The sequence below is a fragment of the Homo sapiens genome, chromosome 7 (assembly GCF_000001405.40).
Source record: "Homo sapiens chromosome 7, GRCh38.p14 Primary Assembly".
NCBI classification, from domain to species: Eukaryota; Metazoa; Chordata; class Mammalia; order Primates; family Hominidae; genus Homo; species Homo sapiens.
The window spans coordinates 148635963-148650937 of NC_000007.14; the positions used below are offsets into that span (position 1 = coordinate 148635963).

General features: G+C 42.7%; 2 pseudogenes; both read left to right on the forward strand.

Annotated features, from left to right (window-relative positions):
* Window positions 1218-1691, forward strand: LOC643438 (huntingtin interacting protein K pseudogene; annotated as a pseudogene).
* LOC100301516 (acyl-CoA thioesterase 13 pseudogene) lies at window positions 13514-14381 on the forward strand (annotated as a pseudogene).

Consider the following 14975-nt stretch of genomic DNA (forward strand, 5'->3'; position numbering starts at 1 on the left):
CTATTTATGTTGGTCCTTTTTCTCCAGTTCCTAATTATATGCCTCAAGAATATGGGTACAGGTTGTTCTTATTCATTTCCTACACCTTGCAAGTTATAACACATTGTCTTGTACATAGGCAAAAATAAAGACTTGAATGAATGAGATGTCATAGCAATAACCATATCTGCAAAACTGACAAAAGCTTATTTCAACTTCTCCTGTGCTATTTTAATCCAGAATCCATAGTATTTTTCACTCAAAAAGGAAAATACCAAAGTTCTCAAAATAGAAGGAAAGAATAAAGAAAATAATAATACTATAAAAGAAATAAAACAAAAGGAATAAATAGCAATCACTAAAGAATTTTCCAGATTTGTGTAAGGTAAGAGGAGACTAAGATCCAGACCACTGGTGGCTTTAAAAGTCACACACTCTGTGCTGACATACTAGAGGTGTCCAGATTTTCAGGACCTCAGGAACAATTTTGACACCCAGGCCTCTTGCCAGATTGAACTGTAGGTGGAGCCTCTTTATGTCATCTTTTCTCCACATCCTGGCTGTTTTTTTTCCCGCCCCTATTCCTCACATACAGAGCTGAGGGTATAAACTGGCAGCCCAACCCACAAACCTGTTTACTCACACAGTGGTTTTATGTTTTTAAATTAGCTGCCAATATGGAAAGAGTGGGGAAGTTCGCATAAACGTTCCCAACTTCAGATTCCCAACTTCCCTTAGAAAATCACATCTGGACAATCCTAGGGCCTCATTCCCATGTGGCAGTGATCAGCTGAGCTGAGTAACAGTGGTCCCCATTCAATGAGGATGGCCTCTCCAGGGCCATGGTTACCTGCTTCATCAATCCCCTTCACCCTCCTCACCCTCTTAGGCAGACGAGTACGCGCCTCCGGTGCACTGGAAACCTCAGGCAAACGCCCAGCGTGCAGGGCTAGGGTTGCATATTGACGCAGACTCCAGGCTCTCCAGGCTGCTGTTGACCGTCCTAGTCTTCCACCAGGCCCCATGGAAAACTTGTATAAGTCATTGCCCCTCTCTGGGACTCAGTTTCCTCATAAGCCAACTGCAGATACACAAAAGAGTTCATCATTTATTTATTAAAGTGCCAATAAATTCAAACTTTCTGAGTCTGCATCCAAATGTCTCACCTTGCCCATAAACTTTATGGCTGATGACGCCCCTAAAAATGTAGGTTTTTTAAAAAATGTAACCTTTTATTTGTCGCCGTGAGGTGGGGCTTATGCGGCGGCGTGGTGAAATAGATGCGGCGACCGAGGGGGATGTGGAGCTGGAGTTAGAGACTGAGACCCGTGGCCCAGAGCGGCCTCCCGAGAAGCCACGGAAACATGACTGACAGCAGTGCGGCGGACTTGGAGCGGGTCACCGACTATGCAGAGGAGAAGGAGATCAGAGTTCCAATCTGGAGACGGCCATGTCTGTGACTGGAGACAGAAGGTCCCGGGAGCAGAAAGCCAAACAGGAAGGGAAGAAAGAACTGGCAATAGGCAGTATCAAGAAGGAAGATCTGGAGCTGGTAATGACCGAGATGGAGATATCTCGAGCAGCAGCGGAAGGCGGCTTGCGGGAACACATGGGCAACGTGGTAGAGGCGCTTGTTGCTCTAACCAACTGATGTGTGCTTTCTCAGATATACCTACTGGATTAATTTATGGCGATAAAATTTCTTTGTCTTTAAAAAAAAGTAACCATTTTTAATGACACTGACCCGCGCCCCCAAAGCCATGAGGAGGTCACCAGTGATCTCCTAAGTACCTAATGATCCCTGTCTTTTCTCAGTTCTCACCTCTGAAAGCTACCAACATTCCATCCTTCTTGAAACCTTCTCCTTCACTGGCTTCCATCAATTTCTATTTTCTGGATGGCCTGCCCTTCTCTGACTACTCCTGTATTTTCTTCCTTTTTTCTTTACCAAATATAGAAATTCCCTAATGTTCAGTCCATCCTCCAACCTCTTTCCAATGGCTATTCTCTTTTTCAGGAAATGTACTCACTACCATGGCTTTAGTCACAGCCTCTCTGTGGGTAACTCCTCTCTCTTGAGCTCGAAACCACATTGTCAATGAACTCTTACCATTTCTTCCCTGCACCCCATCCTTTACTCGATATTGGCATGTCCAAAAATATTAGGCTGGTGCAAAAGTAATTGCAGTTTTTGCCATTAAAAGTAATTACCAGGAGAATCGCTTGAACCCAGGAGGTGGAGGTTGCAGTAAGCCAAGATTGGGCCATTGCACTCCAGCCTGGGCAACAGGGCGGGACTGCCTCAAAAAAAAAAAAAAAAAAATTTCCTTTGCACCAGCCTAATAAAATATCCAAATCCAAACCCAGTGGGGTGGATATCAACTGTTTCTGTCTGCCCTGCATTTCTGTTTTCACCGGAGATCTACAAAACTGTCAATCAAAATTTCCTACCTGGCCTAAATGGAGGGAACGCAAACCAAAGCTTCACCATCAGTGGTACCCCATCTTCCTGTCCGCAGTGATAGGGCCAAGGAGTAAGCACCTGCCCTAAGTGGGATTTGGCATATGGAGACGAGAGGGAGTCGTCTTAGATCATGAACTGTGAAGATGCTGCGGCTGTCTTCCCTGGCCACATGGAAGCTTCAGAAGGAAGGCACGGCACCCAAAGAAAAGCAAACCAGAGCCCCCGAGTGCCTAGGACCAGGAGCGTCCAAAGCCCGATGCAAGACCCTGGGTCTCACTATTAGAGCAGTAACCAATTCCATTTGTCCATAAGCTAGTTTGATTGCATTTTTGTCAGTCATCAAAAGAGCCCTCTTGGCCAGGCATAGCAGTTCACACTGGTAATCCCAGCATTTTGCGAGGCTGAGGCAGGAGGATCGCTTGACCCCAGGAGTTCGAGACCAACCTGAGCAACATAGTGAGACCTTGTCTCTACAAATAATTAAAAAATTAGCCAGGTGTGATGGTGTGTATCTGTAGTCCCAGCTGCTCAGGAAGCTGAGGCAGGAGGATTGCTTGAGCTTAGAAGGTCGAAGCTACAGTGAGCTATGATTGTGCCACTGCACTCCAGCCTAGGTGACACAGCAGTGCTCTGTCTCAAAAATTAAAAACAAATAAAAAAAGAGCCTTCTTTTATTACCTCATTCTCCCAGTGTATTAGTCCATTTTCATGCTGCCGATAAAGACATACCCAAGACTGGGAAGAAAAAGAGGTTTAATTGGATTTACAGTTCCACACGGCTGGGGAGGCCTCAGAATCATGGTGGGAGGCGAAAGGCACTTCTTACATGGCAGCAGCAAGAGAAAATGAGAAAGAAGCAAAAGCGGAAACCCCTGATAAACCCATCAGATCTCATAAGACTTATTCACTATCACGAGGATAGCATGGGAAAGACGACCGGCCCCCATGATTCACTTACCTCCCCCTGGGTCCCTCCCACAACAAACGGGAATTCTGGGAGATACGATTCAAGTTGAGATTTGGGTGGGGACACAGCAAAACCATATCACCTAGTTAACAGGTCATAAAAATTGAAGGCATCTTTAACTCTCTCCTCTCCTTTCCTCCAATATTCAATTTGCAACCAAGTCTTGAAATTCCATTTCTATAATCATTGCCACAATCCCAGTCTCTTCTCAACCTCATTGCTACTATCCAAGCTAACAGCCTCATATACCTTTCTAAAGACTTTTGCAGTAGTCTACTAACTGGTCTCCCACCTCCAGACTCTACCCACCCCTGAGACCACTGTTAGATCCATTTTCCTAAATCGTAAGTCTAGTTACCTAATCCCCCCTTTTAAAAAGTTTCTGTGGGTATCCATTGCATCCAAAATAAGAAAAGATGTCTGTCTTCATTTGCTGGGGCTGCCATAACAAAGTACCACAGACTGAGTGACTTAAACAACAGAAATGGATTTTCTCACATTTCTGGAGGCTGAGACCAAGGGGTCTTCAGGGTTGGTTTCTTCTGAGGCCTCCATCCTTGGCTTGCAGATGGCTGTCTTCTCCCTGTGTGTTTTCATGGCCTTCCCTCTGTATCTGTCCGTGTCCCAATTTCCTCTTCTTAGAAAGACACCAGTCACCTGGAATTACAGCCTACCCCAATGGCCTCGTTTTAACTTAATTACCTCCTTAAAGACCCCATCTCCCAATGCAGTCTCATTCTGCAGAATTGGGAGCTACAATCTTAGCACATGAATTTGGTGGGGCAATGGTGGAGAGACACAATTTGGCCCATAACAATTCCTCATTCCGATTTCTTTTTTTCTTTTTTTTTGAGATGAAGTCTCACTCTGTTGCTCATGCTGGAGTGCAGTGGCGCAATCTCGGCTCACTGCAACCTCCACCTCCTGGGTTCAAGCAATTCTCGACCCCCGCCTCCGGAGTAGCTGGGATTACAGGCACCCACCATCATGCCTGGATAATTTTTGTATTTTTAGTAGAGATGGGTTTTACCATGTTAGCCAGGCTGGTCTTGAACTCCTGACCTCAAGTGATCTACCCACCTCAGCCTCCCAAAGTGCTGGGATTATAGGCATGAGCCACCACGCCCAGCCTTCTCAAATTTTTTTTCTTTTCTTTTCTTTTCTTTTTTTGAGACAGAGTCTCACCCTGTCGCCCAGGCTGGAGTGCAATGGCACGATCTCAGCTCACTGCAACCTCTGCCTCCCAGGTTCAAACGATTCTCCTGCCTCAGCCTCCTGAGTAGCTAGGATTACAGGCACCCAACACCATGCCCAGCTAATTTTTGTATTTTTAATAGAGACAGGGTTTCACCATGTCAGCCAAGCTGGTCTCGAACTCCTGACCTCATGATCTGCCCACCTCGGCCTCCCAAAGTGTTGGGATTATAGGCGTGAGCCACCACACCCAGCCTCAAGTTTCTTAATATGACTCCAAATTAACATTTTCAACCCTACCAAATTTATCTGCTTGGAATATGCATTCCCTTCCTATCTCCATCTCATATCTCTGTTCATCAGAACCCTTCCCATCCTTCAAAGTCCTTCACAAATGCCCTGTCCTCTAAGCTGTCCTGCTTTCTGGATGGGACTTTCTCTCCCATTCCTTTTGAGCAAGACATCGGTTGCTTTGTTCATCCCGCATCCTCACATTCCTTTGCCTTCCCCTGCCTTGGGAGTACGACTTCTCTCCACTATAGGTCTGATGGAGCTTCCAGGTAGAGAACCCCTGGCCACAAGTGTGAACAAGCTCAGCCAATCATAGCCGATCTTCTGGGGATTTGCTCACACCAGACAGAAGGTGGTTGGAACTGAGTCATTTGATCGTGGCACCCTCGACGGCTCTTGCGTTCTTCTTGCTGCAATCCTCAGTGCTGCCTGGTTCCTGTCATTCTCAAAGCATCTGTTAAGCTCTTTTTTCTACTCAGTGAGTTACCCAGAAGGCTTTCAATAAAACCATTATTTTTTCTGACTGGAGTTAACCAGTATTCATTTCTTTCATGTGCAACCAAAGAGCGCTATTAATATACTTTGAAGCCCCAGAGCACAGTGTTTTTTCATCTCATAACACACCCTATTTCTGCCTTGTATGGAATAGCTTCCATGATTTCCCCCACATTACTTCTTTCCCCCTTGCTTTTCTCTACATTCAAGCAGCTGGTCCACTTTGTGCTCATTGCCTTAGAGGGGTGTGAGAGAGCAGAAAAGAGAGAAAAAGAAGTTTCCTAGTAACAGAAACACCCCACAGCACAGACAACTGATTTGGAAGCAAACATTATTTGTAATAGTAAGATTCTCTATCTCACCTGCCCAATCTTCCTGGACCAAAGGATTCTCAGAGTTAGAAGCAAGAAGGAAAGATGGAAGCAGATTCAGAGAGCTAAAATGCTCACTGGTCCTGGAGAGAAGCAGCATTTTCTCCTGTGCCCCTGGTAGAACCTTAGGGAGGTAGCAAGACTCCATAAGGAAAATGGATGAGTGCTGTGTTTATGCATACTGCAAAGAGGCACACTGGTTACGTGTAACCCAGAAAGGCCTAGAAGTAGCAGAGAGAATCAAAAGGTAGGTCCTGAAGGGACCTTGCAGAGGGAATGAGTGTGTCCCCACGGCTGCCTGCACGAACAGATAATACAGAACCACAGGGGCAGTGATGTCTCAGCAGATCGTGCTGACAGATGACAATGAGGACCAAAAAGCACCCCCTCCTGATGGCTTCGGATTATGTAAGCCCCTAGAATTAGTCATGACCCAAAAAATGGTGAGGACCCCAACTGAGCTTATTCCAACCTGGTAAAAAAGTAGGGCTCAAAACAGATATTAAGTTGTTAAATAAATAGAGAAATTGTTCTTTCTTACCTGGGTTGAATACTAAGATTTATTCTCCCAATATACTTATTTATATACCAGTCTTTCCCTTTCTGTTAGACAACAACACAGCTAGGACTGTCTACAGTAAACTGCTGTCACGGTAATTTATACAAAGTACACGCTCAGTGACTATGTCTTTAAGTTGAGTTGAATTGAATCAAGTAACGATTCAAACTTGAAGTTTATAGCAGGGTTAGATTACCAATATCAATGGGAGGTTTATTCTTGGTTTCTGGGAAGAGTGCTGGATATTTTGCACATTTCTATGAGAAAATGAAAGAGTTGTATCCATGATCTGGGAACATCAATGGAATTTGCTTCTCCAGCATAATGGGGGTTGTTTGGCTCTAGTGATTAGAAGGAATGAAAAACTGAAGCCCAGAGGTACGACAGTTTACCCAAAGTAACAGAATCAGTGAGAGAGTTGGGGCAAGTATCCTCCTCACTCTCCATTTACCCCATCTGGCTGAGAGTCCATGTCCTACCCTTCACCCAGTCTCTTGCAGACCCTCAACTCATTCTTGCTTCATTGTTTTCATTGTCCATCCTCCCCAGCCACCTGGCAACACCTCAACTCAGACTGAACCAAGGTCTCTGATCTTTTTGTACACCCGGGCTGCTGGGCTCTGCTTGAGAATATCAGACAACCTCACAGGTTGGTTCCACTAGAAATTCATAAATGCCAGACTTGACTGGGTCCTCGATGCTGCCAGCAATCTAACAATCTTTCTCTGTCCACGCTCTCCGAGTTTCCATTCTAGTTATTTCACAACTTTGTCTACTCTCCTCAAACTTCCGGTCCCACTCCATCTCCCCTTTTCACTCAATGCTACTAAGATGAAGTCCTCTGACGGGAAAATGCTCAGATCCCCACCACCAAGCCTACATGTATATCTGCATCCACACTCACAAGGAGCACGTTTCCCCTCACAGTCTGAGGGCAGGACTTCACTCGCGCTCTGAATTCCGCCCCTGCCCAAAACCCCTTGCCTTGCATTGCCCCTCTCTCTGCTCCATCTTTCGCTTCTGAAGCACTTGCTTATCTTCAGACTTGAGTCGATGCATACAGATGGTTCCTATTTTAAAAATCAAACACACTTCCGCAGCCCTGTGTTCCCCGCTGTTCTCTTCCCACAGCCGCCTCACTGCTCCCTTCTTGAGTTATCCACTCTCGTCATCTCCGTTTCCCACCACAGTCTGGAGGGTGCTTCTGGTCAGCTAGAGTTGCTCTTACCTGGGACCTCATTGTTGTCTATGGTGAGCGTGTCAGTCCTCACCTTGCTGACAGCATTTGACCCTGTTCAGCGGTCCCCTTCTTATTCTATTCTATTTATTTAGAGACAGAGTCTCACTCTGTTGCCCAGGCTGGAGTACAGTGGCATGAACACAGCTCATTGCAGCCTCTATCTCTTGGGCTCAAACAATCCTCCTGCCTCAGCCTCCCAAGGAGCTGGGAGCAGTCGTCCTCTTCTTGAAAACATTCTGTTATTGATTTCTGTGACTCCACATTCCTCTGATTTTCTCAAATTTCTCCAGCCACATTGTCAGCCTCTTTTTCAAGCTAATTTTCTTATATCCATTCCTTAATGGTGTCCCTTGGCATTGGTATCTTCTCTGATCACCCCAAATACTGTCCCTGGGCAATTTCATCCACTTCTTGGCTTCAATTACATTCATATTGAGGTCTCTCAAATCCATACCTGCCAGTCCTGGCCTGGGTCCTGAGTTCTGCGTCTATAACTCTATTGGACATCTTCACGTGGCATCCCCAATTCAACAATGCCTAAAACTAGACTCCTTATCTCCATGTCCCCCCAACAAAAACAAAACCAAAATCCTCCTTTTTTTCCTCCCAGTTAAAGGCAACATCACCCACCCAGTCATCCTCCTGAGCGTCTTCTACCCTCGTGGTTCCCAAATGTAGTCAATCACTGGATGCTCTCAAGTCAACTCTAAATGTTCCTGAAATCAGCCTACCGCTGGAGAGAAAACTGTAGGGAAATGGTTAAACTTGCAGTTAGACAATGGGGCTTCAAATCCCAAATCTAGCCAGGCAAGTGGCTCATGTCTATAATCCCAACATTTTGGGAGGCCAAGGTGGGAGGATCGCTTGAGCCCAGAAGGTCAGGACCAGCCCGGGCAACATAGCGAGACCTAAATGAGCTTGGCATGGTGGCACATACCTGTAGTCCCAGCTATACAAGAGGTTGAGGTAGGAGGATCATTTGAGCCCAAGAGGTTGAGGCTGCAGTGAGCCAGGTTCGTGCCACTGCACTCCAGCCTGGGCAAGAGAGTCAGACCCTGCTCAAAAACAAACAGATAAACAAAAAATCCCAGATCTACTTACTTGGAGATGCAGGCAACTTAGCCTTTCTATAGTTTCTCCATTTATAAGATGTATGTGGTGATAATACAGCCTTCCTCATGTGGATGCTATGAGGATTAACTGAGCTCGTGCATAGAAAGCACTTAGAAGAAGGTCAGGCACGATGTCTCATGCCTGTAATCCCAGCACTTTGGGAGGTCAAGGCGGGTGGATCACCTGAGGTCAGGAGTTCAAGACCAACCTGGCCAACATGGTGAAACCCCGTCTCCACTAAAAATACAAAAATTAGCCAGGCATGGTGGCAGGCACCTGTAATCCCAGCTACTCAGGAAGCTGAGACAGGAGAATCGCTTGAATCCAGGAGAAGGGGTTTGCGGTGAGCAGAGATCATGCCATTGCACTCCAGCCTAGGCAACAAGAACAAAACTCTGTCTCAAAAAAAAAAAGAAAAAGAAAGAAAGCACTTAGAAGAGTACTTGGCACATGGTCAGTGTTACCTCTCCTTATAGTCCTCACTGCCACCCACTAGTAGCAGCCACCCCCTCTTCTGTTTCCCGGCTGACCAATGCAGTCGGCTGATGGGCTTTCTGTCTACGACCCTGCTCCTCTTCCAATCTGGTCTTCACGCTACCTTCAAAAGGATTTTGTTAAACAAAATTTGTTCATGTCATTTCCCTACTAGAAACTTAACAGTGGCTGCCCATTGCCCTTAAAACAAATTTCAGATTTCTGATGACGGCTTACAAGATTCAGCATGACCAGGTCTCTGCATGCCTTTCCAAGCCGATCTTCCGCCATTTCTTCTCAATTCCTTTTCCAGCCACACAACCATTTCCTAAGACACAACTTGCCCCTTCTCACCTGGGCCTTCTCACCTCTGGGTTTTTGCAATGCTGGCCACTGTGCTGTGAACACCCTTTCTTTACCTCACCTCAATCCCTCACCTACCTGGGCTGTGCCAACCCCCGCTTATCCTTCAAGTCTCAGCTAAACATCACTTGTTTGAGGAAGATAGGCTTTTGTGAAGGTTAATATTAAGTGTCAACTTGACTAGATTGAAGGATGCAAAGTATTGTTTCTGAGTGTATCTGGGTGTTTCTGGGAGTTGCCTCTCCCAGTGGGAGAGGCAGACCCATCCTCAATCTGGGTGGGCACTATCCAATGAGCTGCCAGTGCGGTTAGAAAAAGCAGGTGGAAAGGAGATGGAAGAACCCGACTTGCTGAGTCTTCCAGCCTTCATCTTTCTTCCGTGCTGAATGCTTCCTGCCCTTGAACATCACACTCCAGATTATTCGGCTTTTGGACTCTTGGACTCACACAGTGGTTTGCCAGGGGCTCTCAGGCTTTTGGCCACAGATTGAAGGCTGCACTGTCCACTTCCCTACTTTTGAGGTTTTGGGACTGAGACTGAGCCACCACTGGCTTCCTTGCTCCTCAGCTTGCAAATGACTTATTGTGGGACTTCACCTTGTGATGGTGTGAGTCAATTCTCCTTAAGAAACTCCCTTTCATACATTCATATGTCCTATTAGTTCTGTCCCTCTAGAGAACCCTGACTAATACAGATTTAGCCTCCCAACTTGGAGAATGCCCCATCCTCTCCCGGTCCGTAACATTTACCACTGGGCTTTGTCATTGTCTATTTGTCTGTTTCTCACTGCAGATGATGAGCTCTGCTATCTTTTATAATTGCTTTTATTGCCTGTCTCCACACTAGAGTCTGAGCTATTTGGGAGCAGGGACTTCATTTGGTCCCCATTGCATCCCAAGAGCCTAGAAGTGTGCCTGGCACACTGAGTACCCTCTCAGTTAATATTTGTTAAATAAACTAAATGATGCCTAGGCTATTATTTTCCCAACACAGATGTGAGGTTTTTAGGTTGAAAAAAATGTATATTATAATTCATTTTGGAAATTGAACGCCCAGCAAATCTTCTTAAAATAATATAATCTGTTCTTGTTCAGAGACCACTCACCTTGAGAAACCTTGTACAATCTTCTCAGGTGACATCTCTGCACTTGATCATCTCTACTGTAATATATCTTCATGGAATGGGCTCCAGAGACCCTTAACCTTGAAGCAATCTTAGTTCATCTCTCTATAGAAAGATTTTTATATCAGAAAGCCTGTGGGCTACTTTAACATGAAATAATGACCTTAATCACATTTGACAACCCTTTCTACTTAAAATTATTTATGAGATTCAAGCGAGTAGTTAGGAACTTAATGACCGATCTCACTTTAAATGGTCCTTCCTTCCTAATGCTTTTGCTATAATGACTTGCAACATAAGGTTGACTTTGTTGGTTCTAGAAAGTAAGACAAAGACTTTCCTTCATTTAAAAATGTTATTTTAAAAATTTCTTTCCTTAAGCTAAAACAGATGAGATTCAAAAAGGGCATATGTCCCTAATTATTATGATTAAGCATTTATTCTTTTCACGTTAGTGTTTGGGCATCTTTTGGTCACCCAGTCCTGTTCTCTCTTCTCTTTTTTCGCTTTCCTGCCTGCCACATTTCCTGATGGCAAAGAAAACAAATAATTCAAAAGAGAAAAGTACACAATATACACAGATATACAAATGTAGAGAGAGGGCTCTTGCAATATAATCATATATGGGGAAAGAAGGATTTGCAGCAATGTCAATATAATCTATTAGTGTATATGTGTGTGTGTGTATGTTTATATGTGTATGTGTGCATGTATGTGTATATATGTATATATAAAGACTCAGTTTCAACATGCTTATCATATCAATTTCCAGGGTCATCTTCATAAATGAGTAAAATTTTAATAGATGCATATGAACACATGTAAGTATGTGTATATACACATATATACACGCATACCTGTATAAATATATACACATATATACACGCATACCTGTATAAATATACACACATATATACACGCATACCTGTATAAATATACACACACATATACACGCATACCTGTATAAATATACACACACATATACACGCATACCTGTATAAATATACACACATAGATACACGCATACCTGTATAAATATACACACATAGATACACGCATACCTGTATAAATATACACACATACATACACGCATACCTGTATAAATATACACACATACATACACGCATACCTGTATAAATATACACACATACATACACGCATACCTGTATAAATATACACACATACATACACGCATACCTGTATAAATATATACACATACATACACGCATACCTGTATAAATATATACACATACATACACGCATACCTCTATAAATATATACACATACATACACGCATACCTCTATAAATATATACACATACATACACGCATACCTCTATAAATATATACACATACATACACGCATACCTCTATAAATATATACACATACATACACGCATACCTGTATAAATATATACACATACATACACGCATACCTGTATAAATATATACACATACATACACGCATACCTGTATAAATATATACACATACATACACGCATACCTGTATAAATATATACACATACATACACGCATACCTGTATAAATATATACACATACATACACGCATACCTGTATAAATATATACACATACATACACGCATACCTGTATAAATATATACACATACATACACGCATACCTGTATAAATATATACACATACATACACGCATACCTGTATAAATATATACACATACATACACGCATACCTGTATAAATATATACACATACATACACGCATACCTGTATAAATATATACACATACATACACGTATACCTGTATAAATATATACACATATATACATGTATAAATATATACACATATATTCCATATTATGTGCATATAATGCATGTATATATACATATGTATACCATGTAATATACATATATGAAATAAACATGTATTTTATATACATATGTAAGCTATGTAGTATATGTACATAAAATACATGCATTTTATGTACATATGTATACTATGTAATATATGTATGTAAAATACATGTATTTTACATACATATGTATACTATGTATTATACATACATAAAATACATATATATTATGTACATATGTATAATATGTATACTATACACATATATTTTATAATACACATATATTTTATGTTGATATATGATATATATTTTATATATGTGTACCATAGAGTATACATATGTATGTATACATGGATTATATATACATTTATAAATAACAAATACACATTTATATATGTACTGTATGTATGTATACCTATACACACATACATATACAAACACAATACATATATTAATATATTCATATTATTTATAAATAGATGTTTGTGTGTATTACCTGTGTGTATTATACACACATAATATGAATATGTGTGTGTATATAAACCCATATGTTCATATGCATCTACAAAAATGTTACCCACTTATGAAGATGACCCTGGAAATTAATAGATGTACTAAGTATTTATGCCCCTTACAAAACTACACCGCCATACACATTTGTTTGAATTTTTAACATTTAATAACTCCAACATTTCTCCAAAGGAAATGTTAGTAATCTTTTTGTTTGGCCTAAATGTGGTACTTTTCCTTTCTTCCCAAAAACTCTCATGTTAAGCCAAAGTAAATGAAATGCCCTCTAGATTTGGGGCTAATTCCTTGACACCACCTGAAAAACCTGGAGACACCCCTGCATGCTTTAAACAGCCCAGAATTCCTGCTGAGGTGCGTCTTGCGCTTCTTACACTGTGTGCTCTCCACCTAGGCTGGACAGGTCTCCCTGCAACGCTGCACTTCATCCTTGTCCCAGGGGACATACGGCCTTTTCAGAAGAAGCTAAGGTCTTTCTTACTTACCACTGTTGCAAGAAGAATTTGAGAGCTTTCTTTTCTGTGAACTTCTGGGCTTCCCTGCTCTTCCAAAGATCGTTCTTTCGCCATGCCCAAAAGCTGGCAAACTGTCCACAGTGAGCTGTGTGACACAGAATCTGCAGAGGTGGGGAAGGCCATGGCCAAGGCTCTGTCATTTTGATAGAGTTTTGGAAAAGATGTCTCTTGTCTCTGCTATTCTTGGGAAAGTGATGTGTGAAATGAAAGCAAAACAGTATATCGGTAAAATAGGCACTCTCCACAGGGGTTTGAAAGCCACCTTAGTAGATAATGTAACAACAATGTGGCTCACACTTGTAATCCCAGCAATTTGAGAGGCCAAGGTGGGCAGATTGCTTGAGTTCAAGATTAATCTGGGCAACATGGCAAGACGCTGTCTCGACAAAAAATTTTTAAAAATTGGCCATGTGTGGTGGTGTTCACCTGTGGTCCCAGTTACTCAGGAAACTGAGGTGGGAGGGTCACCTGAGTCTGGAGGTAGAGACTGCAGTGTGCCAAGATCATGCCTCTGCACTCCAGCCTGGGCAACAGAGTGAGACCCTGTCTCAAAAAAAAAAAGCTCTGCTAAGCGTAGAAAGTGCTCCAGGGAGTACCTGGATTCAGTGTCAACAGAATGTCCATGCCACCTACAAAAATAGTAGATACAGTGATTACAGCACACAGTACATAATCTAAAGCAAGGAAAAGCACTTACATTTGCCTCTGTGGAAGCAACCAACAAGGCCGTGGGAAAATGAATAGCACAAGGCAGACACACAAACCCCTGGGAAACTGAGAGAACAGCAGGATGACCTAAAGAAATCCAACAATGAGTATCAAGTGGTAATTTGACGTGAACAAATGTAATTTTCAAATAAATTAGCAAAACCAGAAAGAGAAAAAAAGAAGGAATGGAGAAGCCAGACATCTTCTTCCTCCCACTTGCTAATGCCCAACTGTCAACAGGCGGCCATCCCTCCACTCCCTGTTCCCTGTAAGGGCTGCTCTCCCGCTGAGTCCAGCTCTTCAGAAGGGAGAGTGGAGCTTTCAAGTGTTTCTGCAAACTAGAAGACCTGCGTTTCTACCACATTTTATTATTAATTAGGCATGCTAATTAATCAATCCAAAGCACATCACTTTCCTTCCCTGTACCTCAATTCCTCTCTGTCAACTAAGGAATTTGGACTAAATTATCTCTCAGCTTCCTTTAGCTTGACTGTTGCATGCTAACTTTCTGAGTCACCTTTCATAAATGTGGAAATCTAAAGCCACTATTGTTCCAGTCTTGAAACCATGTAGTAAAAATGTTTGATCAGTTTAATTAAAGTATCTTTTCTACTGAATACAAAAGTAGAAGTTGGGGAGAATCTAAAAGTAGATTTACCAGTAGTCAGTACTATGGAAAGGGAAGATCTTGCAAGTTAATATCCTACTAACTAGATCTTAAGTGGATCTTAAGAAAAAGGAGGCTGGGCACGGTGGCTCACGC